The 25755-nt window shown below is 39.4% G+C and overlaps 1 protein-coding gene across 4 annotated transcripts in view; it reads left to right on the forward strand.

The window, feature by feature from the left end:
• Positions 1-25755, forward strand: part of LRGUK (leucine rich repeats and guanylate kinase domain containing) — a 149346-nt gene that overhangs the window by 119870 nt on the left and 3721 nt on the right. For 2 of the 4 annotated variants that reach the window (NM_144648.3, XM_047419890.1), the window contains 4 exons: positions 347-435; positions 1742-1867; positions 11048-11196; positions 16636-17386. In NM_144648.3, coding sequence (NP_653249.1) covers positions 347-435; positions 1742-1867; positions 11048-11196; positions 16636-16766 — 495 coding nt within the window. In that variant the 3' untranslated portion in view covers positions 16767-17386. Of the gene's footprint in view, positions 1-346; positions 436-1741; positions 1868-11047; positions 11197-11670; positions 14946-16635; positions 17387-25755 lie in introns of those variants that run through there. The other 2 variants (XM_024446661.2, XM_024446659.2) reach the window with 2 other exon arrangements.

Genomic DNA, 25755 nt, shown 5'->3' on the forward strand with positions numbered 1-25755 from the left:
AAGACTAAAAAGACCATAATAGTCTGTACCTTTGAGAAGTTTATAATCTCATTAGAAAGATAAAAATGCACACATAAAATGTAAATAAAAATTGCCATATTATTATTTAGATGTCAAATAGAGTTTATATATTATATTACAGTCTTTATAAATATACTTTGGCTTTATTTATAAAGTTGGTTCTTTTCTTTTTCCTGAGTGAATATCAATTGTTTTTTATGCCTTTTCCCCCTTTTTCTTCCCACATATTTGTCAATCTCTAGTACCAAAGAGAATTATTATAGATGTTTTAATCATCTGACATTTTTAACATCAATGCAATTTTCTAATGACATTTCTTACCTAGGAAAGAGATTCTATACACAGACAGCACGAGGCAGCCCGGCAAGCTCTAATGGGAAGGATACGCCCTGATCACACACTCCTATTTCAAAGGTAGCAATTTATCACATGAGCAACTTTAGATTGATTTCCTAGTGTTCAAATAGATCAAATGAATCCTAAATCGTGAACATAAACAGAGACCTCTGTCCTAAAATGGACCCAGTGTTTCAGCAGTAAAAGCAGTTCTAGAAGTTGTATTTCCTTTTCATTTGTATACATTTTTAAAAGGCACAATATGCTCATAGCTACTAGAAACTGATGATTTTTTGAAGATTGCAAAGAATATTTCTTTGCAAGAAGAAGACGGGTGATTAATCTGGAGTTGTGGCTTCACCACCTTTAACTATCGTCTATCCTTTCCCTTGCATGATTGTTTCGGTTCTTTTTATTGTTTGTAATTTTAAGTTATCTATTGAGAATCTTTAATCAATATAAATAAAATTACATTTTTGTTCACTTGTTTGCTGCCATGTCAAAACAGAGTGATTAATTTTCTTCATGTTGGTAGGCTATCTTTGGATAGTCAGATTCAAAAGACAGGCTGTGTGATATATGCAAATTTGTATGGGAGGTTGGGAGGATGGTGGCCAGGAGTGAGACACTGTCCCCCAGAGCAGCTGAAGCTGGGCCTAGGTGACCACTGCCCAGCAGAATGCCAGGCCTGTTCGAACACTCTGGACAGAGAAACTATGCAGTTTTAAATATGAGTTCCAAATGGGTCATCACAAAGGCAGATAGATGCTTTGAATTTGCCTGCATTTATATGCAACTGGGCTGCCTTGCACATAGCAACTCTAGCAAGTCTGAAGAACAGCAGGGTTTATTCACGAAAAATGGCTAATGATTCTTTTTCTTTCAAGTCAGTCTGAGGGAACAGACTTGCATACAGCACATATGAATAGATGAAAAAGGATATTTTATGCTAGAGTTTAGTTGAACGTATAATGGTAGAATTTTTAGAAATATTTTACTTGGATACCATTTCAAAGCATTAGATTATAAATAAAGTTGGAAAACACCTATTTTTAACTTTTATAGCAGTTGATATATTGCTAGCCCTTGCATAACAAATGGACTAGGGAATCTCCAGGAAGATAATTTGCCTATATTAGTACTTTAATGGCTATGGAATATTCACAGCAATGAATATTTACTTAACCTTCAAATTAGAATGTAATGATGCCAATGACTTAGACAAGCTCTGATGTGCATGTTTCTGAGTGGATATATTACATTATTTCACATAGATCTCATTGGCATTTGCGTTTATCTGGGATATTTAGGTATACATGTGTGTACACTTGGTATCTTTACAAAATCCTTTGGTTTTTTTTTTTTTTTAAATTTCCCATTCCAGGGGTCCAGTACCAGCACCTCTCACCAGTGGTCTACACTATTATACAACTTTAGAAGAACTCTGGAAAAGTTTTGATCTTTGTGAAGACTATTTTAAACCTCCATTTGGACCATATCCTGAAAAGAGGTGAGTTGAGGTGTTTTGTTGGATGGAATTGGCTATTTTCTGCTGGTTAGTTAAAATTATGGTACTCATCTCTAAGCTTCAGAGAAATCCTAAAACTGGGAAGCAGGGCCCTAACTCCCGCTGTAGAATTTGAAGGGAGTAGACCCTGCCCCTCTATGGAGGGCCCAGGCATATAACCTAGGTTCACCATTGGAAGCTTTTATCTGGGACCTTGAATCTTGAGGGAGTGATAGAAAGACACAGGGGCAGTTAGAGGCTATTCAAGTCACCAGCAGCAGAAGAACCGAGATTTCAGAGGAAGAGCACAGACATCCATTGTGGTAAGGCAGGCAATGATGTTCTGCTAATCTCTTCCTGTACTGTGATTCGGCTGTGTTCTTGGTTCCTAGCTTACCTTTGTTCCCGCCTCATTTTAAGGCCAGGTTCTCTAGTTTCCATTAATTTCATAAAGTACCCCATAGCCTTCCACTAATTCCCTTTTTAATATTCACCTTGGCCAAAGAGTGTCTGTATTTGCAACCAACCATTCTGATTAGTATGACGCTGTATTTCAAAATGTTTACCAATGGAAGTGCAATACATAAAAGGCCATTTCAGGGTCTCAGTGTTTAATATGTCATAGTGTGGCTCAAAAGCTGAAAATGTTTACGCTGAGGGTCCCATATAGACCACAACAGAGCCTCCATTGCTGATTGTAGCACTGTGCTTTTGAGAACATTCTACTACATTTTGTTTCTCCTTCAGTTGCTCCTGTCACTGCAGCTGACCATCTCGCTGTAGGTCTTGAAAACAAATTTACACAAAGATCTGGCTGGTTGGGTCAATTGCCATCTACTACGGGGTGCCTCTCTTGGGTAGAGATCTCTAACCAGGGCCCTCATAGGTTGCTGGCTGGTCTATAGATTGGCTGTCCCTATGTCAGGCACCTATCCTTTAGCCAGTATTCTGTGGTCAGACCAGTGACAGCGAACCAAGTGGAAAACTCTTCAGAAGGGGGCTGTGGGTATGGCAGTCTCTGTGGAGCATCCAAACGCATGGCAATGTAATGGACATACAAAGTGACCGGAAGAAAGCTCACCAAAATGTGAACAGTGGCTATTTCTCTAGAATTACCAGTTATTTTATTTTTCTTCTTTATCCTTTTTTCCTGTAACACCTAAATTATTTGCACAGGGATATATATTTTATTTCTGTATCCTAAAAAACTATTAAAAATCCCTAAGAATTTAATGAAATATTCAATAAATGAGAAAGTAAAAGGATTTACACCAAAATATTATGTTATTATCTTCTAGTGATAAGATTATGGCCAGTTTTTGTTTTTTTGTTCACCCCCCGTATTTTCAACAATGAGCATTTTTATAATTTTTGAAGCATTAGCATAACTTTACAAAGTTATTTTAGAAGTCTGTCACAGCAAAGGGATATTTTATGATGGTGATATATCATAATGAGAATGAAAACTTTTAAAATGAGCAATGCTTTCCTTTATTTCTGAGTTTTATTGTTCTGACACTTGGGATTTCCTTCCATAATTTTGATGATGAAAAATAGCTGTCCCCTCTAAATGGTCCCCTCTCAGTCTGCATGTTTCACTAGAGATTAGAGACCCTAGCATTATAATTAGTTAATTAGCTTTCTGTAACCGTGTTGAAACTGTGATCTCTGAGGATTTGTTTGAGCTCTGAATTGTTAGTACAGTGAGGTAGGCAGATGGGAATACAGCAAAAAAGAGAAAACAAAATGGCCTAATGGGCTGCAGTAGGTTTACACGTCATCTCTTCCCATGGTAAAAGGGGTCAGGCCTGTGGCTCAAGTCTCACACTTCACCCGTGGTCATGCATATGTCTTTTAACTCCACCACATTCTTTCTTCAGACTTTCAATGAGTATTCATTTAATACTTTGACACAAAGGAAAAATAATTGTTGAAAGACAGAACTTGCTCTGTGATGCCTTTTTTGATGTGTGTCTTATATGCAGACATATTATTTCCCAAAACATATGTGTTATGGTTTGAGCTGTCCCCCATTCCCCCAATTTCATATGTTGGAGTCCTGACCCCCAGGATCTCAGAATGTGACCTTATTTGGAAATAGGGTCACTGCAGATGTAATTTGTTAAGATGAGGTCATATTGGAGTAGGGTGGGCTCCTAAGCCAATAAGGCTGTCCTTGTAAAAAGGAGAAATTTGGACACAGGCACACACATAGGGAGAATACCTTGTGATGAAGACTCAGATTGGGGTGATGGGGCAGAAGACAAGGAGCACCAAAGCTTGCCAGCAAACCACCGGAAGTGATGAGAGAGGCCCGGAACAATTCTCCCTCACAGACCCTGGAAGGAATCAGCCCTGCTGACACCTTGATTTTGGACTTTAGGCCTCCATAACTGTGAGACAATCAATTTCCATTGTTTAAGCCACTCAGTTCATGGTATCTTGTTATGGCAGCCGGAGCAAACTAATACGACCTGTATAAAAATCCAGTGAAATTTTTCTTTTCACATTCTTTCTGTGTTCCCTTTAACATGCTACATAGTTATATGCTATGTATGTATTTAATTTATATGTTATACATATAAGCTACTATCGTATGCACTATATCTTTATCACTTTGGGTTATTGCATTTTTCGCTAAAAGATGGAAGAACATCTTTATGCATCTATCATTTGATAAAAAGCTCTATCCCATAAAACATAAATGCATCTACTGCTATATTTAGGGCAAAAGACTCAGTCTAGGTATAAATCTAAAGAGAAGATCCCATGCATAGGTTAATAATGACACTTTCCCAATGCAGGAAGTAGAGGAGAGATTTGTCTGGTGACTGGAAGAGCCAGATGTTGGCAATATTGGTCTCAGTTTACTCTTCTCTAGCAAGTGCTTCTTGGGCAAGCTCAGTAAACCTAGGTGGGAGCAAGAGATTGGGAAACAAGGTCTCCTAGGAGACTTTGCTCTGTATAAAGGGAGCCTAGGCCTGGTGCAGTGGCTCACACCTCTAATTCCAGTACTTTGGGAAGGCAAGGTAGAAGGATTGGATCATTTGAGCCCAGGAGTTCAAGACCAGCCTCGGCAACATAGTGAGACTCTGTTTATACCAAAAAAAAAAAAGTAGCTGGGAATGGTGGTGTGTGCCTGTCGTCTCAGCTACTCAGGAGGCTGAGGTGGGAGGATGGCTTGAACACAAGAGGTTAAAGCTGCAGTGAGCCATGATTGCACCATTGCATTCCAGCCTGAGTGACAGACCCTGTCTCAAATAGATAATTAAATTAAATTAAATTAAATTAAATTAAATTAAATTAAAGGGACCTAACATTCTGGCATAGAATTCCAAAAGCTGTCGTCCAACAAAAAGAAGACAGTCCCAAGAACTCAGCCCAAGATGGTAAGATGGACCTCCTCCTTGGAGCAAGCAATTAGACTTCTCTGCCACTTGATAACAAGTAACTGACACTTCTAAGCAGAATCCTTAGGGTGCAGAGAGAGTGCCCCATCCCAGAATACCTCTATCTGGGAATGTTGGTGCCATGTAGCCCTAGCTGTAGTTGACAGACATCTGAGGTCCAAGTAGTAGGCAGGTGCCTATGCCCAGCAGCACATGGGCTTTCCAGGAGAGCTGGGTTTGGATTCCCAAGTGCACCAGTGCTGTGGCCTCTGCTTGCCATTCAAACATAATACAGACAATGTGAGTGCTGCACATTAGCTGTGTCACCCTCAGTATGCCTATATCACCCCATTCCCTTACCTCCTGGGTCAAGGACAGGCCCAGATGATAGCTAATTGCACTATGTTTTTCAATACTAGAGCCCTGAACTCCTGGGGATATCTCATTAAGACTGGCTCCTACCCTTTTAATCTCTGCCACAGTCAATATCATCCTAGTAAACATAGATGCCTTCATTTAAATGGCAGGCTTTACCTTGTATAGACCCAATTGCATCAGCCTTTCCTATTGCCAGGTACGAATCTAAGTTAAATGTGGAGTGTGAACAAGTGGAGTTCAACTTGAACTTGATCCTAGAAATGTACTTCTTTGCTGGGATAGGGATCATAACATTGGAACTACAGAAAAGAAAGTATCATCACAGCCACCTACTAGGTTCTGCAGCGGAAAATTACCTATGAATTTTTGACGTTTTAATCAACCTTTGGCCAAATCATGAAAAGACAGAACTATGAATACAAAGCTTAATATAATCAACTTTGACAGTGAAAAGCAGACCCGTAATGACAAAGTTGAGGAGGTAGAGGTGGAGGGTCAATTTTATTAGCTGTTGTTAATGAAAGAAGAAATGTAGTTTTAAAATATGATATATGAAGATGCAGATCTGACAGATGGAAGAACTGAGAATAGTGATAGAACTATGTAGGGGGAGTGTTATAAAGTGAGTTAAGTTCTTCCGTATCATAGCAGAAATCCTATCTATTAAAAGATATGTTTAAAATTGATGTCAGGCCTGGGCGGCGTGGCTCATGCCTATAATCCCAGCACTTTGGGAGGCCCAGGAGGGTAGATCACTTGAGGTCAGGAGTTCAAGACCAGCCTGGCCAACATGGCAAAAACCCATCTCTACTAAAAATACAAAAATTAGCCAGATGTGGTGGTGCACACCTGTAGTCCCAGTTACTGAGGAGGCTGAGGCAGGAGAATCAGTGAAACCCGGGAGGCAGAGGTTGCAGTGAGCCAGGATGGTGCCACTACACTCCAGTCTGGGTGACAGACAAAGCCTCTCTGTATAATTTGACTTAATTTTAACTATATAGAGACAGCACGTTGATTAAAATGTTAATGATAAATTTTTGGAGAGTTGAGAAAAAGTTTGTCTAGGTCCAAATCAAATTTAAAAGAAAAACAGCAAGCTTTACACAATACAACAAAAGGGTTAATATTCAATACGTGAAGAGTTCAGACAAATTGGTAAGAAAAACGGTATGGTCCTCAACAGATAAATGAGCAAAAGACATACACAATTCACAAAAGGAGTGTGGGGAGGAGCTAATGAATAAATATAAAAAATAATGTTTAATCTTGCTTGTGATTAGACAGCAATTTTAAATAATATGCCACTTTTTGCTTGTTGAATTAGCAAAACTGATTTTTTAAAATTATTTTTTAAATGGTGCAAACAGAAAGATACTGCTGGAGAGCCCAGATTTTGTTGGAAGATAAAATTTCACAATCTTTTGGGGAGCAATTAGGAAGTTTATAGCAAAATCCTAAATAATATATTTACTATTGACCTAGTTATCCTGCTTCTGGGAATTGATACTGTCTTAGACCATTCAGGCTGCTATAATAAAATACCATAGACTGCGTAGCTGATAGACAACACACATTTATTTCTCCCAGTTCCGGAGGCTGGGAGTTTAAGATCAAGTGCCTGGTCAGGGCCCACTTCCTGGTTTCCAGATGCCATCTTGTGGCATTGTGTAGATGTGTCCTCTACACAATGGAAGGGGTGAGGGAGCTCTCTGGAGTCTTAAATAAGGGCACTAATCCCACCATGAGGGCCTCACCCTCATAACCTAAGCACCTCCTGAAGACCCCGCCTCCTAATGTCATTACCTTGGGGATGAGAATTTCAACATAGGAATTTGTGGGGATGCAAACATTCAGACCCTAGCAGATACTAATAAATTAACATGTGGAAAATCATCATATGCAAAGATATTCATTATGACAGAAAAACTTGGAAATAACCTGAATGTCAAAAAATAACAGAATGGTCAAATAAAGCATGAAGCATATACTTGATGGACTATTATGCAGCAATTAAAGATCAGGGTTCAGAAAACTGTTGATAACTTAAAATTGTTCACTGAAAATGTGCACAATTACACAAAACAAAAAGAGCCAAACTGTAAGAGTGGCTTTCTATGTGTGATTTTCCTTTTTCCTTCTAGTTTTCTGTATTTTCTAAATTGTCTATAATGCGTATGATTTACTTTTATAATGAGAAGCAATTAGTGAACTTTATTTTTAGGAAATTAATTCAGTGGATAAAGATAAGTCAATCCAAAACAATTGAACTGAAGTATGAATGTGTATGGGATATGAGAAGCAGAGTTACAAAGCTAGTGGATCTTGTGTAACACTCAACCACATGCCAGTTTCCGTTCTGGGAATGTGACATATGTTATCTCAACACACACACACACACACACACACACACACACACACACACACAAATTTATAACTACTACCCGGCGAGAAAAAAATGCTGTCATTTTCCTCATTTTAAAAATGTGACAACTGAGGCAAGTTAATTAGTCGGTAAAAGGACTTGAAGCTATCAAGTCTCAGAGCTGAGGTCTGAACCAAAGCCAAAAGGCTCGAATCTTTGTGCTAAGCCACTTGGCTACAGTCTACAAGACTTAGAATTTAACTGAAGGAAGAAGACATGTATAGAGAAACACCAATGACACAGGCACGTCTGTGATGAATGAAAGACAATTAGTTCAGACATATTTTTTGTCTGACTTTCATTATTTTCTACCAGAGGTTTCTTTTTTCTTCCCAAACTACCTCTTATTTGCTAAAGCTCCCCAAGATATGCCAGCATCTCCGACATAATTCACATTCTCTGTGGCTTTCTAAAGAAAAATTATTAAACTTTTAAAAATGGGAAGGTCCTATATTTGCATTTCAACTCTATGTCTGAGGGGTTCGCCTACATTTATACCTGTTTTATTTTCTTTTTTGACACTTGCTGTTAACTAGAAATCTTTCCGTGTGTGCATGGGGGATGAGGGGATCTTTTTGCTTGGTCTCAGCATGATTCCTTGCCGAGGTCCTACCAATATCTGAGGGCATCCAGTGATGAGACAGCTGGGGAGGTCAAGAGCACGGTCTATAAATACTTCAATCAGCCACCATCTGGTCCTGGAGTCATTGGCTGGTGAGATCCAGAAACATGGGCCAAAACAAGCCCCCTGTCGCCTGTGTCAAAAGAGACACACATCACTTGGGTTATGGCGCCCTCTTCCCAAGCCATAGTGGTATAAAACTCCAGGCCTCATGCTTCCCTGCTCCTGCCTTTTCAGTAGTTGAATTATCCTATTCCCACCCCCGAACCTTCCCTTAAAAAGTCTACTCCTGGCCAGGTGTGGTGGCACATGCCTGTAATCCCAGCACTTTGGGAGGCCCAGGTGGGCGAATCACCTGAGGTCAGGAGTTCGAGACCAGCCCGGCCAACATGGAGAAACCCCGTCTCTACTAAAAATACAAAAAATTAGCTGGGCATGGTGGTGGGTGCCTGTAATCCCAGCTACTCGGGAGGCTGAGGCAGGAGAATGACTTGAACCGGGCAGGCGGAGGTTGCAGTGAGCTGAGATGGCGCCATTGCACTCCATCCTGGGCAACAAGAGCGAAACTCTGTCTCAAAAAAAAAAAAAAAAAAAAAGTCCACTCCTTGTCTTTTTCCGGTTAGTTTTCCAAGCCAGCATCTTTCTATCATTCCTGAAGTTTACTTTGACTGAGAAGCATTCCAGAACCATTAAGTTGGAGAAGAGAAGCCTGTCTCCCAGTGAGGCCCTTCAGATGTCACAACGGTCCCTCTGCTGAGAGCATTCTCCTTCCTCCCCTCCAGTTTCAACCTCCACCCCACCTTCCCCCTTTTCTAGCTAATTCATCCCTCATGTCTTAACTAAAATGGCACTTCCTCAAGGAGAGCTGTCCTGGTATGCCTAATATATCATCTTATAGCATTTGTGTTTTCCTTCATATCTCAGTTTTTGTAAAGCACGTGTGTGATTAGATACACCTCCCAGTCTGTAAGCCGAACAGGGCAGGTCCAGATCTTGTGTTCACTGCTATATCTCCTGAACCTCCTCAGTGTTAGAATTGAGAATGACTTGATAAATGAGTGACAGAAAAGGGTTAAGAGTGTAAACAATCTTTGGGGTCCCAAGGTGGGAGATGGGGACTGCACTGGTCAGGGAGAGGGGAGAGGATCGTGTCCACCTTTCTGTCAGGTGGAATCAAAGCTGTCCCCCTTGCTGAGTCAGGGACTACTCATGGCATGACTTCCATGTTTAGTGAGGAAATTTCACTCAGTAAATTTCTCCTGCCTTCTTGCTTAGGCCTGAAATCTGCCATGAGAGCTGCATTCTTTTAAGACGTTGGCCCTCATTAAAAGGCAAGATTTATCCAAAACGTAATGGCTTAAATATCAGCCATTTTCGTGTGATCAATTTCAGATTCTCCAATGACAGCAAATATGGTGGGGATGAGGCACAGTGGTAGAAGTGCCTGTAAACAAGGTTCAGCTGCTTGCCAGGGCTTTGCAGGATGAGCTCCCCTGGTAGAGCTGCCTCCCTGGAAGGCAGTGAAGAAACAGGTGAATCCCAAAGGAGAGGAACCTGGCGGTAGGAAGTGTTTGGGCTCAGAGGCAGGGATTTCAGATGCCCAATCATACCTGAACATTATCCTAAAAATGGAAATGAGTGTGGGGCATGGTGGCTTACACTTGTAATCCCAGTACTTTCGGAGGCCGAGGCCGGCTGATCACCTGAGGTCAGGAGTTCGAGACCAGCCTGGCCAACATGGCATAACCCCATCTCTACTAAAAATACAAAAATTAGCCAGGCAATGGTGCATGCCTGTGGTCCCAGCTACTAGGGAGGCTGAAGCGGGGGAATCACTTGAACCCAGGAGGTGGAGGTTGCAGTGAGCCCAGATCGTGTCACTGCCCTCCAGTCTGGGTGACAGAATAAGACTCTGTCTCCAAAAACAAAAAAAAAAAGGAAGCAAAATCACAGTCCCCAAAACCTATGCCCAGTGTGAGGTCCAGATCAGGCCACCTACCATGGTTTTGTTTCTCTATCCTTGAAATAGCACTGATTCTAAAATCCTGGAGATTAGGATCTGCGCCTTATCTTGTTTTATACTCCAACACTTATCATGATGTCTTGCTCTTAGTAAATACTCAGCCATGTCTTGTATAATGGATGAGACATTTATGCTAATGTGTACAGTACCTATTATACTTTAAGAGATGTCAGCTTCTATATAGCACCTTCTATAGACACTGTTGAACACTAGCTCAACACAAGACATGTCCACTAACTACTGTGAACTTGATAAAGGTAACCCAGTGAAGTCATAGGCATAGATCGTGTGGCCATTAGTAGCGAATAGTTTGGATCTCAAAAAGATCTTTGGTTTTTCATTTTTTCAGTGGGAAGGATTCCTTGGTTTCCATGAAATGTTCATTGTTTCGGTTCTGTCCGTGGTCAAAAGAATTGCCTTTCCAGCCTCCGGAGGGGAGCATTTCTTCACACCTAGGATCAGGAGCCAGTGACAGTGAGACCGAAGAGACCCGGAAAGGTATGAGTTAGGCCAAGCGCGGTGGCTCATGCCTGTAATCCCAGCACTTTGGGAGGCCGAGGCGAATGGATCTCCTGACGTCAGGAGTTCGAGACCAGCCTGGCCAAAATTGTGAAACCCCATCTCTACTAAAAATACAAAAAATTGGCCAGGTGTGGTGGTGGGCACCTGTAGTCCCAGCTACTCGGGAGGCTGAGGCAAGAGAATTGCTTGAACCCAGGAGGCGGAGGTTGCAGGGAGCCGAGATCACACTACTGCACTCCTGGGTAACAAGAGCAAAACTCCGTCTCAAAAAAAAAAAGGTATGCGTTGTTTTACATATGGTACTATAAATATAAGTTATATATATTTATATTTGTTTATATATGTTTCCTACTGTCTTTTTATTGATCCTGATTTTTGAAAATTAAATGAGAGTATTGAGTCAGAATCTCCCTCTAAGGTAGCGTGTTATTTTGTTGCCCATTGTTATAGGTGAAAAACAAAGTTGAGAAAGGTGGGGAATCCACCCACGGTCACTTAGCTACTTTGAGTAGAAGCTGCTGCACTGTCCACCCGGCCACATTATCTGCAGCGGTCTGGGACAACGACCACATGCTCTTTGGAAGAGGCTTTGGTGAGGTAGACTCCATTCAATGAAGGTGAAGGAAAGCATGGAGGCTTTGAGTTGCAGTCCAGTCTTCACTGTGGCGGTTCGGCAGAATTCTGATGGCTTTAGGCTTGAAGGATCTGGCCCAGCCCCGCTTCACCTCCTTTTTGCCCCTAGATCCCAAACACACATGTGAACATGCATGTCCAGAAAGAGGCAGAATGGCCATTGCACTTTTCTCTCTGGGCTCCGCGGCAGTGTTCACAAATAACACTGAGTAAAGACCTTGAACAGGGTGGGGAAAACAAAGGACTGGAGGTGAAAATGGGAATGGGAGAGAATAATCTGGGTGTCAATAGGAAAGGTGGGGCGCTGTGAGTAGCTGATAGAGGAATGAAGTGAATGGGGAGAACTCTCTAATGCATGGAGGCTAGGACAGAGCCACCATTTGTAGTCTTGAGGGGATGTTTTGCCTGAACCCTGCTTGCTCAGGTGACCGGAGGAACTAGCAAGATAATACAGACCTCTTAATTTGCCTGGCATGAGAAGACACAATAGATACTGTCTCCAAAAGGAAGGGATTACTGAAGCAGGCATCTTCTAAGCAATGTGAGGGTGGACTCCCCTTCACTGCAGTGGTATTCAGGATAGCTGGCTGGAATAAGAGATTTTCAAGGATTTGACTCATGCAGGACACAAGCAATAAGGATGAGAGTTCTAACACCAAAGCTCCAGGAAGTAATTCCAAATTCTCTTGGCCTTCATGTCAGCTCGCAGGAAGTGGGAAATGTTCTAGGAATTCTGTAAAGGCTGGGACCTGCCACTCCAGGGCCCGAGGGAACCGGGAGTTCTAGACCAAACATAGCACCAAGGCTCATCATAGTTCTAGCTTCTCATAGGACAGTGTTCATGGACCGTCCCCATCTCATTTCCTCCCCCTGCCTGTATCCTTCCTTAAATGGGATGCTTAGGGTCAAATACCTTATTCTAACCCATCTGGCCAGAGCAAAGTGGGGCTGTTATCAGTGGTGTGGTACAGTAGAAAGACATTAGATTAGGAATCAGAAGACCTGTGTTCTAATTCCATTTCTCTACTGGCTGGCTGCACAATATTGGGCAAATCAGTTAACATTTGAGCCTTGGGAATAATAACATAATATCTGTCGTATAATAATATGGTATTATCACATATAACTATATATGATTGTAACATATATATGCATATTATAATATAATATATAATATTGAGCCAGATAAGATGAGTTTATGGTACAAGTAAGAAGTAAATTGCTAGATACCTGCTAGATATTGTGCTTGTAAATTTGTATACACATAGCAGAAGATTGTGTTGGTGTATTTTATGGATGCTTTCTGTAGATTCATTTTGTTCCTTTGAATGGGCCACACTTTTCTGTTTGTTTGTATGCCTTTGCTCTTTTGTTGAAAATTGGGCATTTGAAAAAACAGCTACCTCTCCAAAGCTGCAGACTAGCTCAGCGCTGCAGAGGACTAATTAGTGGCGTGTGTTCTAAGCCTAGGATCAGGCTTGCATGCAGGCTTCACATCTTTTCAGGCCTTTCCTGGGTATGCATTTTCCCTGGGCTTGTGTGTGTGCTTTTTTCCCAGTTCCCCAGTAGACACAGTTGCTTTTAAATGTTTTAATTTTCCTAGGAGTCTCACCCCTGCTGCTTGTTGGGGCTTTAGCTGTTCTATCGTATCCCTCAATTAGTAGCCCCTGTGTGGTTTTCATGAGCCATGCCCACTGCTCCTGTGGCTTCTCCTCGTTTGAGATCCCAGCTATGCCTGTTTGGGCCATTTGAACTCTGAGTTAGATGACACAGAGACCAATCAGGCAGCTGCCAAATGGGTTAGAACATTGCAAATTAGATCTGCCCTACTCTCTCTGGTTTATAGAAGGGGACTGGGGACCTGACTGCACTTGCCCCAAATCACTGCAACGTGCTGGGGTGAGGCGGGGCAAGGGCAGGTGAAAGCACCATGAGATTTCCCACCATTTGAGTGTGGCTTTTCCTGGACTGGGCATTTGTTTGGTTGCAGTAGATATTTGACTGGTTCCAGAGTTCCTATAAAGTTATTTCAGCCAGTCTGTAGTTGTTTATTTAATGTTTCCACGGGACAATAAGGGTCTGGAAGTTCTGAGTCTGCCATTTTGCTGATATACTGTAGTGGTTTTCTTAGCAACTATATCATACTGCTGGCTCTGGGTCAAACTCTCATGTCTTTTTTTACATGAACTGTCAAACTAGGTCTCCATCATCCCATATATGTGAAGTTGATTTTTTTTTTTACATAAATGTAACTTTTGTTTTCATCTTTTTATCATTTTGGTTTGGCCCTACATTCCAGCTCAATTTGTATCAAATTAGATCATTTCGTATCTGATTAATCTCCCATATTCTCTATTCTCCCATATTCCCTATTAATCTCCCATATTCTCTATAGATTTTTGAAATCTATAAAACCAACAAGCATGTGACCTCTGCCTATGTCATAGTCACTGTCAACAACAGGACTCAGGACTCAGCCAAGTGCAGTGTCACATGGCAAGTCTCAAGTCTCTGCAGACTTAATTTCAGGGAAAGTCCACTACTATGTGATTACTAGTCAAATCTCTGTAGTGGAACCCCATGAGAAACTTTGATAAGTGCCCTGTAGAAATCAAGATACATTGTATCAGTGGTATTTTCTAACTTACAGGTCAGCAACCTTTCTCTAAAGGACCATATAGTAAATGCTTTTGGCTTTGTGGGCCATGTGGGCTCTTGTGCAACTTCTCAACCCTACCATTGTAGCGTGAGAACAGCTATAAACAATGTGCAAATGAATGGGTACAGGATGGGTTCCAATAAAATTTTATTTACAAATTAAATAAAATTTATAAATCTGGCTGCAGGCCCGATTTGGCCTATGTGCCATAGTTTACTTGACCCCTGCCTAAATAAAAGGGAAATTAAGTTACTTTCAAGTAAATTTTATTTGCAAACCCCTTCAACACTCATCATTCACTATAGTATTTTATAAATACACAACCATTTCTTTAATAAACTGAAATTTGCTAAGATTTAAAGTCAAATGTGGTTGGGTGCATTGGCTCATGTCTGTAATCCCAGCACTTTGGGAGGCTGAGGTGGGCAGATCACTTGAGGTCAGGCATTCGAGACCAGTCTGGCCAACATGGCGAAACCCTGTCTCTACTAAAAATCCAAAAAGTAGCTGAGTGTGTTGGTGTGCGCCTGTAATCCCAGCTACTCAGGAGGCTGAGGCAGGAGAATCACTTGAACCCGGTAGGCGGTGGTTGCAGTGAGCCAAGATTGTGCCACTGCACTCCAGGCTGGGTGCCAAAGCGAGACTCTGTCTCAAAAATAAATAAAAATAAAGTCAAATATACTGGTTTGTAAACCTTTATTCCTATTTTTTTAAATGGCAATATTATTTGTCTCCAATGCTGTTCTCACTGTGGATGAATTATCTAAGGGTGGATACTCCAAAACTGCTTCCATAAGCAATTCCGGCACCCTGAGATGTAATTTAGCTGGTTGTGGGACTTGAACGGATTGAAAAAGGAGGCCTACTCCTCTACCGTCTGCTTTCTTTTCAACATGTTTGCTTTGCTCTTTCCTGTTTAAAAGATATCCCCATGGAGAAAAACAAAAACCAGCAAACAAGGAAGGGCCAGACTCAGTGGCTCATGCCTGTAATCCCAGCACTTTGGGAGGCCAAGGCGGGAGGATCATCTGAGGTCAGGAATTCAACGTTAGCCTGGCCAACATGGTGAAACCCCACCTCTACCAAAAATACAAAAATTACGCAGATGTGGTGGTGGCATATGCCTGTAATCCCAGCTACTTGGGAGGCTGAGGCATGAGAATCATTTGAACCCGGGAGGTGGAGGTTGCAGTGAGCTGAGATCACACCACTGCACTCCAGCCTAGGTGACAGAGCGAGACCTGGTCTCAAAAAAAAAAAAAAAAAAAAAAAGGAGGAGTTTTTTTTCTTTTCTTTTGCTGATAACAATATCCTCTCAAACAATGTCTTATTTTTTTCTTTGAATATGTCCTAAAACGGTCAATGTTCCCTTTGACTTTTCATTGGTTTGATTTGGCCAATAGATCCAGTCTTCATAATCTTATCCATCATTTCTGTTTCTCTCACTCTCTATAGAATCCTCTGCTTTACTTTCTCAATCCCTGCTACTCTGCTTTCTTACCAGTGAGAATTCTGCTTCTGCTATGGCCACCATGCCTCTACCTTTCCTCTCTATCTTCTAAACTCCTCCTGCTTCCCAAAGTCCCTGGAGAAACTGACATCCAGATGTCTTCCTGCTTGGTGAGCAGACCAATCTTTAGAGGGCATTAAATGAAGCTTCTATAGGAAGAACTTCACTTCACTGTGTGTGTGTGTGTCTGTGTGCATGTGTATGATTGTGAAAGAGTACTGTGTGGAGCATTGTTACAGAAGGCATGACAGGTGGAAGAATCGCTAGTGAGTGCTTGCTGTAGCATCCTCTGGTCATTGGGCAACTCTATACAACCTAAGGCTTGTTCAACCATGTACATGCTATATTCTGACCTCATCCACTATTATTCTTCCTTGAATGTCATTTCTTTCTTTTTTTTTTTTTTTTTTTTGGCCTCAAGTGATCCACTCACTTGGCCTCCCAAAGTACTGCAATTATAGGTGTAAGCCACTGCACCTGGCCTCATTTATTTCTTATAGTTTGTCATGAACGAATTCTAGAAATTGTTCTGGTGCTTATATCATGCAACACTTATTCTCTTTGTACCAAGAAACCAAGGGATTAACTATCTTTTTTTCTGAATGTTTTACAGCACTACCTATACAATCATTTTCACATGAAAAAGAGTCTCACCAACACAGACAACACTCGGTCCCAGTCATCAGTCGCCCAGGTTCCAACGTCAAACCCACCCTCCCTCCAATCCCTCAGGGCCGCAGGTAGACTAGCACTTGATGTCTGATCCTAACATGGAAAACCTGCTCTGCTGATGTCGAATTCCTTGCCTTACCTGGCCATGGGTCCAGCTGTTTCTCACTCAACCCATTACCCACGGAAGAATGTTCTACCTGCCTTAATTCTATCAGCCAGTTTCTCTTGTGATTCTTTGGCTGGTGTCTTTTAGTTTTTTAATTAAAAAATTGTTTCTTAAATGATTTTTAAAGATGTGAGTTTTTTTAATGTGAGTTATTCTTAGCTTTTAAAAATGTCATTTCATTTTTTTTTCTATAGCTATAAATAATTTTTTCCACCTGCTCCCTGCTCGGAAATATCAGATGGAAAAATCTCCCAAGATCTCTGCACCGTGATATGCAGAGTGGCTTTCTGATATATCCAACTGGGATTGTGCTCTTAAAATTTCAATATGTCCATTTACAACATTCCTGTATGCTCTAGAGGATTGATTTATTTTGCTCTGATTATGAAAGGATTGCAGAGTTCCATTTAACTTGTCGCCAACATGATATCGACTGCATCTCTCAAAAGGAATTAATGTAATTTTGGGGGGTTCTTGACTTACTTTAGCAACACGAAAGAATAAAGAGCAACAGTTGATTCTTTTATTTCACCCTTCTTTGACTCTGATTAGGGACTGCTTGTGATTAGATATACTTTTAGACAACTTTCATCATCTTTGTAGTTTCACTCCTTGTCTTAAAAAGAAAAACCTCCATTGAGCAGTTATAGACAAGGCTGGTATTCCGCTAGTATGTCCCAGTAGGCTATCCTGATTGTTAAAACTTTGAGATACATTCCTTTGTACTGGAAAATGGTCTTTTCTCTGAGTACTCTGTGCATGATGACTAGTGAAAAGAGAAGCCTCCACATAGTACTATACTCATTGTTAAATATTTTGAATATCAGAATCCTCTAATGACTTTCCTTTTTAAAATATCAAAACCCCTTTTAATAATCCTCTTCCCTGTGACAAATTTGGTTGTAACACAATTTGCTGTTGGCTCTTGTCCTCCCCCAGTCCTGCTCTCAAACAGGAGCTGATTAAAGTTCCTTTCTTGGGGTTGGTGAGGGTGGAGCGGGGGGACCATGAAGGAGATGACCACGTTGGGCAAGGAAATCAGAGGAGTCTTTTCTGGAGAAGTGGGGAGGAAGAGGATATGTCTCTGTATTCCAAGAATCTTCAAGAATAGTTTAACTTTCACAAGTATCGTCTAATCTTTAAAAAAAATTATGAAATATTTTAGGGACAATAGAAAATATAAAAATAATACTTCTGATTTAAGACAGCATGGAGGAGCTGCACATTTCCTGGTTTTTCTCACCGAATACAGCTAAAACCCTGAACATTATAGCTCAACCTCTGAGAGGTGAAAAGAAGGCAGATGGGCTATGGATCTCAGAGCCTGAGTAACAACATGGTGGTGAATCCTCTGAGTTTGGTTTTCCTCATATATCCTAAACTGGGTGCTAGAGAAACTAAAATTCAAAGTTATTAATGGATACATCAACAAAAGCCCCAGCGAAAGCCCACTCTCTCCAGCCAAAGGACTAGGAAAGGGACAGTCTCAAAAGATAGAAAACTTTTAGACAATAGCTGCACCATTCCAGCCAAACACCATGGATTAAACTATGCTCCCTACCCTGTCAGCAAAGGCTCTCAACCTCTTCTGGCTGTAACAAGGTTCTCCTCCTTCTCTCTGCTGGGACAGTATCAGAGAAGGTGTTGTGGACAGCCAGGACTTTAACCACTGCCCAATATTAATGAGAATGCCCTCCCACAATGTCATTGAAAGCCACTTGGGGGCCCTGGACCTATTCCTCACCTGGTAATAATGAGGAACCTCTTCTCCTTCCCACTGGAGAGTATTAGAAAAGGTCTCATGAAGAGCCAGGACTTTCACCATCAACCCACATCCCTGCAGTGTCAGTGGAGGCCATGTGAAGAGCTGTGACAAGGTGCCTCTCCCCCTCCCAGTGAGGGTGGTTCAGTTGAGGCCTAGTGGGGACCCTAAACTTCTACCCCAAAGCGTTAATGAGGCATCACTGCCCTCTTTCCCACCCTGGGTGTCAACAGAGGCCAAGTGGAGAACTTGGGCTTCTCTCTCTATCTGCCGGTCATGAGTCAGTGCCTTTCTGCCCCACTGGTATGGTGTCAGAAACGTCCTACTGAGACAACAGATTGAAATAAGATCTGAAGTCTCATTAACACACTATCCAAACTGTCTAAGATATAATTAAACCACTCACCATATCAAGAATTAGGAAAATGTCAACTTGGATAAGAAAAGACCATCAATATATGCCCACACCAAAATGACACAGATGTTGGAATTATTGGGTAAGGATTTTAAAGTAGCAATCATAAAAATGCTTCAACAAGCAATTAGGAACATGACTGAAACAAATGAAGAGATAGATAATTTCAGCAAAGAAAGAGAAAGCCATAGCAAAGAACAGAAGACATAAAGAAGAACCAAAAGGAAATGTTATGACTAAACAGTACAATCACTGAAATTTTAAAACTCATTGGATGGGCACAAGAGTGAAATAGAGAGGACAGAGGAAAAAAACTTAATGAACCTTAAGACAGAAGAATTGAAATTACCCAATCTGACCAACAGAGAGAAAATAGACTGAAAAACAATATGAGTCCCAGGGATGTGTAGGACTATGTGAAAAGATCTAATGTTTGTGTCATTGGAGTCTAGAGGAGTACAAAAAGAGTGTGAGACTGAAAAATATTTTTTTTAAAAATGACCCGAAATCTCTAAATTTGGCAAAAGCCAAAAACCTACAAATCCAAGAAGCTGAGTGAATCCTAAACAGGTTAAAGCCAAAGAAATTCACAAGACACATAATAATCACACTACTGAAAACCAAAAACAACACAAAATCTTAAAGCAATGAGAGGGAAATTATATCTTAATTATAGAGGAAAAAACAAATGCTAGTGGACTTCTCATCAACAACCATGGAAGTGGTATATTTTGAAGTACTCAAAGGAAAGAACTGTCAACTTACAATTCTATCTATATTCAGTGGAAATGTCCTTCAGGTATGAAGGAGAAATCAAGACATTCTCAGATGAAAGAAAACAAAAATAATTTGTTGCCAACAAACCTATCCTAAAAGAAGAGTTGAAGGAAATTATTGAAACAGAATGGAAATGATAAAAGAAGGAAACCTGAAAGATCATGAAGGAAGAAAGAAAAATGGAAAGAGTAAAAATATGGACTACTACGCAGCCATAAAAAGAATGAAAACCTGTCCTTTGTAACTACATGGATGTAGCTGGAGGCCATTATCCTAAGTGAAATAACTCAGAAACAAAATCAAATATCACATCTTCTCACTTATAAGTGGGAGCTAAACAATGGGTACACATGGACATAAAGATGGCAACAATAGACACTGGGACTGCAAAAGGGTGAGGGGTGATATGGTTTGGCTGTGTCCCCACTATAATCTCATCTTGAATTGTAGCTCCCATAATTCCCACGTGTTGTGGGAGGGACCTGGTGGGAGATAATTGAATCATGGGGCACTTTCCCCCATACTGTTCCCATGGGTAGTGAATAAGTCTCACAAGAACTGATGGTTTTATAAGGAGTTTCACCTTTTGCTTGGCTCTCATTCTGTCTTGCCTGCTGCCATGTAAGACGTGCCTTTAGCCTTCTGCCATGATTGTGAGGCCTCCCCAGCCATGTGGAGTTGTGAGTCCATTAAACCTCTTTTTCTTTGTAGATTACCCAGTCTACGGTATGTCTTTATCAGCAGCGTGAAAACGGACTAATACAGGGGGCAAGGTTTGAAAAACTTCTTATTGGGTACCATGTTCACTATTTGGGTGACGGGTTCACTAGAAGCCCAAACCTCAGCATCATGCAATATGCCAGTGTAACGAACCTGCACAAGTACCCCCAGAATCTAAAATTAAAAAAAAATATGTTGAACTGAATAAAAATGAAAATATACCCTATCAAAATTTGTAGTATGCATCTAAAACAGTGCCGAAAGGGAAATTTATACCACTAAATGCCTACATTAGGCAAGAAAAGTCTTAAATCAGTAAGCTCCTACCTGACGAACCAGAACAAAAGCATAATAAACACAGATCGAGCAGAAGAAAAGAATAAAGAGCAGACATTAATGAAAGTGGAAAAACAGTAGAGGAAAATCAATAAAACAAAAAGCTGATTCCTTGAAAACATAATAAAATGGACTATCTATTTAGTAAAAACAGATGAAGATGATATATTTTAATACAAATTACCAATAGTATAAATGAAATAGGGGATGAAACTACAGACTCCATAAATATCAAAAAGATAATAAGGAAATACTACAAACAACTCTACATATGTAATTTGGCAATTTAGATAAAACAAACTCTTTTCTTAAAAAACACAAACTCCCATAACTCATGCTGCATGGCATAGATAATTTGAATAAGCCTATAAATATGTTAAGGAAATAGAAGAATTAGGTTGAATTAAAGAATTTATAATTGAATTTGAAAAAGAATCTCCAAGCCCAAATGCTTTCACTGAAGAACCAATTGCTAACAGAAGTATTCACACCAATTCTATACAATCTCTTCCAGAAAACAGAAGAGGAAGGAAAACTTCACAACTCATTTTATGAGGCCAATATTACCCTGATATCAAAATCAGACAATATAAAAAAATAAAACTACAAACCAATATCACTTATATATGCAAAAAATCTTTTTTTTTTTTTTTTTTTTTTTTTTTTTTGAGACAGAGTCTCGCTCTGTTGCCCAGGCTGGAGTGCAGTAGTGCCATCTCCAATCACTGCAAGCTCTGCCTCCTGGGTCCACGCCATTCTCCTGCCTCAGCCTCCTGAGTAGCTGGGACTACAGGCGCCTGCCACTGCACCCGGCTAATTTTTTTTGTATTTTTAGTAGAGACAGGGTTTCACCGTGTTAGCCAGGATAGTCTCCATCTCTTGACTTTGTGATCCTCCCGTCTCAGCCTCCCAAAGTACTGGGATTACAGGCATGAGCCACCACACCCGGCTGCAAAAATTCTTAACAAAATATTAACCAAAAAAGCCCAGGACTAGACAGATTCACAGCCAAATTCTACCAGTTGTACAAAGAGCTACTACCAATCTTACTGAAACTATTCCAAACAATCAGGAGGAGGGATTCCTTTCTTACTCAGTTCAATGAATTTTTAATTCCCTTAAGACCTCCTTGTAGATCCACGGATTATTTAGAAGTGTGTTGTTTCATTTCCAGATACTTACAGATTTTCCTGTTAACCTTTCTGTTGTTAATTTCTAGTTTGATTTCATTGTGGTCAGATCAGAGAACATACTCTATATGATTTCAATTCTTTTTTTTTTTTTTTTTTGAGACAGGGTCTCTCTCTCTGTTGCCCAGGCTAGTGTGCAGTGGTGCCACCATAGCTTGCTACAGCCTTGACCTCCTAAGCTCAAGCAACCCTCCTGCCTCAGCCTCCCAACTAGCTGGGAATACAGATGTGTGCCAGTACACCTGGCTAATTTTCTTTTTTGTAGAGATGAGGTCTCACCATGTTGTCCAGGTTGGTCTTAAACTCCTGGCCTCAAGTGATCTTCCTGCCTCAGCCTCCCAAAATGCTAGGATTACAGGTGTAAGCCACTGTGCCTAGCCTCAATTCTTTTAAATTTATTGAAATTCTTCTGTGGCTCTGGATATATTCCATCTTGGTAAATATTTCTTGAGCAAATAAAATTCAGCAATACATAAAAGATGTGTGCGCTGTGACCAAGTGGGATTTAATCCAGAGATGCAAGGCTGGTGCGACAGTTGAAACCAACCAATGAAATCTATCATAATAATAGGATAAAGAGGAAAAATCAGAATATATAAATTGATGCAGAAAAAGCACTTGACAGAGTCCAATATCCATTCATAATAAAAGTCTAGGAATACAGGGGACCTTCCTCAATTTGCTGAAGAACAGCTACAAAATACCTACAGTTAAAATCATACTTAGTGGTTACAGGCTAAATGGTTTCTCTCTGAGAATAACAAGGCAAAGATGACTACTCTCATCACTCATTTAACATAGGACTAGAAGTTCAAGCCAGTGCAATAAAGCAGGAAAATGTAATAAAAAGAATACACATTACAAAGAAAGAAATCCTTATCTGCAGATAATATTATGATCTACATAGAAAATTCCAAGAAATCTAGAAAACTCTTAGAATGACTAAATATGTTCATTAAGTTCTCAGGTATCAAGATTGATACAAAAAATCAATTGTATTTCTGCATACTAGCAATGAGCCTTTGGAAACAAATTAAACTACACTCACTCAACAAAATGAAGTTTTTAGATGCAGATCTTTTAAAAAGGCACAAGACTTATATCTTACAAGTGAAAAAGAATAATATAATAAAACTCTAAGCCCATAATATATCCACTTTAAGAAACAAAACATTACTAATATATTTAAAGCCCATTTTGTATCCTTTCTAATTATATTTTCCTGATTTCCCACCCTGATGTAACCATTATTCTCAGTTTAGTTTTTTATCCTTCCCATGAATTTTTTACACTTTTGGTATATATGTGTCTATTCCTAACAATATATACTGTTGTTCTCCATGAGTCAAAACTTCGTGTTATATTACATGTATTCAGCAATTAACTTTTTTCTCAACATTATGTTTGTAAGATTAATCCACATAGTTTTTATTATTGCAGTTTTGTAATTTTTATTGCTATATAATATCACACTGTAAGAATATATGGTAATTTATTCACTTTTCTGTTGGTGAATGCTAAATTTGTTTCTACATGTTTGTTATTACAAAGGATGCAGCTAAAAACATTCTTGTGTAGGGGTGGAATTGCTGTGTTATAGGTATACAAATATTTAACTATCAGATATTACTATAGTGGTTGCTGTAATATGCTCTCACCAACACGTAAGAGGGTGCTCATTTTTTCACATTTTCAGCAAGTGGCATTAATAGTCTTTTTATTGCTAATCCAATAAATGTTAATGTAATCTCATTGTGGTGTTAAGTGTTTAGTTTGAATTTCTCCAATTGTCAAGTAAAGTTGAACCTTTTAAATAAGCTTATTGGCCACCTACAGTTCTCTTCTGTGAATTGCCTGTTTATATGTTTTGCCCAATTTTAAATTGAGTTATTATCTTTTTCTTATTGGTTTGATGTATTTATATATTCTGGTTAATAATTTTTTGTTAATTAAGCATATTACAAAGATCTTTTTCCAGGTTGTGACTTATTTTTTCACCTTTTAAAATGTTATATTTTAATGAATACAAGTTTTTTATATGGCCAACTTTGTCAATCTTTTTCTTTTTGATTTGTACTTTTTAGATCTTATGAGTTTCTTTTTTATCCTATTGTAATAAACATAATCTCAGATATTTTTCTAAATTTTTGTTAAGTTTCACTCTTCCAATTTAGGCCTATATTTTACTTGGAATGAACTTCTGTGTATGATGTGAGATAGGATTGAATTTTTTTTTATTCCAGTTGTCCCATTACTCTCCCCTCCTAGTTTGTAATACCCTCTCTCTCATAGATTGTTTCCATAAATGCTTGGATTTATGTATCAAATTCTACAAATGCCTCACTTGGAGTTGGTTAGAATTACATTTAATTCAAAAATTTGAGGAGGTTTCTCTTTTTTTATGATACTTGCTCTCCCTATCTGTAAACATTCTCTATTTATGTAGGTTTTCATTAATTTCTTCAATACAATTGTATAATTTTCTCCATAAAGGACAAATGTATCTTTAGTGAGATTTATTCCTAGATGCATTTTATCTTGGTTGTTGTAAATTGGATGTTTTTAAAGGTTATATTTTCTCCGTCTGGTGTATAAAATGCAATTCATTTCTACAAATAACCCTGTGTATTAATTCTGACAATGTATTATAGATAATTTCAGGATTTCTATGCAGATAGTATAATAAAAAATAACAATATTCCTTTTCTTTCCATCCGTTATTATTTTCTTTTTCCCTTTCCTTTCTTCTTTTCTAAGCTGCACTGGAGACAATCTTCAATACAATGTTGAATAGAAACAATGATAACGAGCATCCTTGTCTCACATCTGAATCTGTCTAATGCTTCACTATTCAGTGTGAAATTTGCTATAGATTTTAGGTAGATAAACTTCTTTGGAAAAAGAAGTTTCATTTTCTTCCTAGTTTAATAGGAGTTTTACCATGAATAAGTATTGATAAGAGGGTGTTTTCTTTGTAGGGTACAAACACTTGCAGTATGTATTAATTCAATCATATTCATTGTATTATTCAAACCATTTATTTCCTTTTTCATTTTTTCCTACTTATTCATATGGATAGGTCAAAAAATTTCTCACTGTGATAGGGTTTCTGTTCCCTTCTCTTCTTTCCTTTCCCTCCTTACCTCCCTCCCTTCCTTCCTGTATTGCTGGATGGTTGTAGAAAAGTCAGTGGTACGTAAGAAATGCTTACAAAGGCATCAGAAGTAAATACCACACAAATAAAAAGCAAGGAGGGGTAGGAATATTATAATCAGACAAAGTAGAAGTCAAGACAAAAATCATTAAATGATACATAAAATACCTTTTACATTAAGTCAGGTACATCCCATTATTAAGATATAATAACAGTTATAAGCCCTTATGAGTTGAATAACATGACATCAAAGTATATAAGGCAAAAAGTATAAGAAATGAAAATTACTTTGTCTGAATGACAGTACTATCATTTATAAAACTAACAGAATTTCTTATTAAGAGTCTTGTGATGATTAAGCTAGGTAATGCATCTGTGGTGAGTATGAATACTTCAGGCCACAAACTTTTAATTTTAAGTGCAATCCAAAGTGAAAGAATTAATCTTATTCTCAGTCAATTCAGGACAATCTCATTTAATTCACAGTTTCTCCTCTCTTGCATTTTACTTCGGATTTTATCCAACTTCAGGGGGTTGTGGG

This window comes from Homo sapiens, chromosome 7, assembly GCF_000001405.40.
Source record: "Homo sapiens chromosome 7, GRCh38.p14 Primary Assembly".
Classification (NCBI taxonomy): domain Eukaryota; kingdom Metazoa; phylum Chordata; class Mammalia; order Primates; family Hominidae; genus Homo; species Homo sapiens.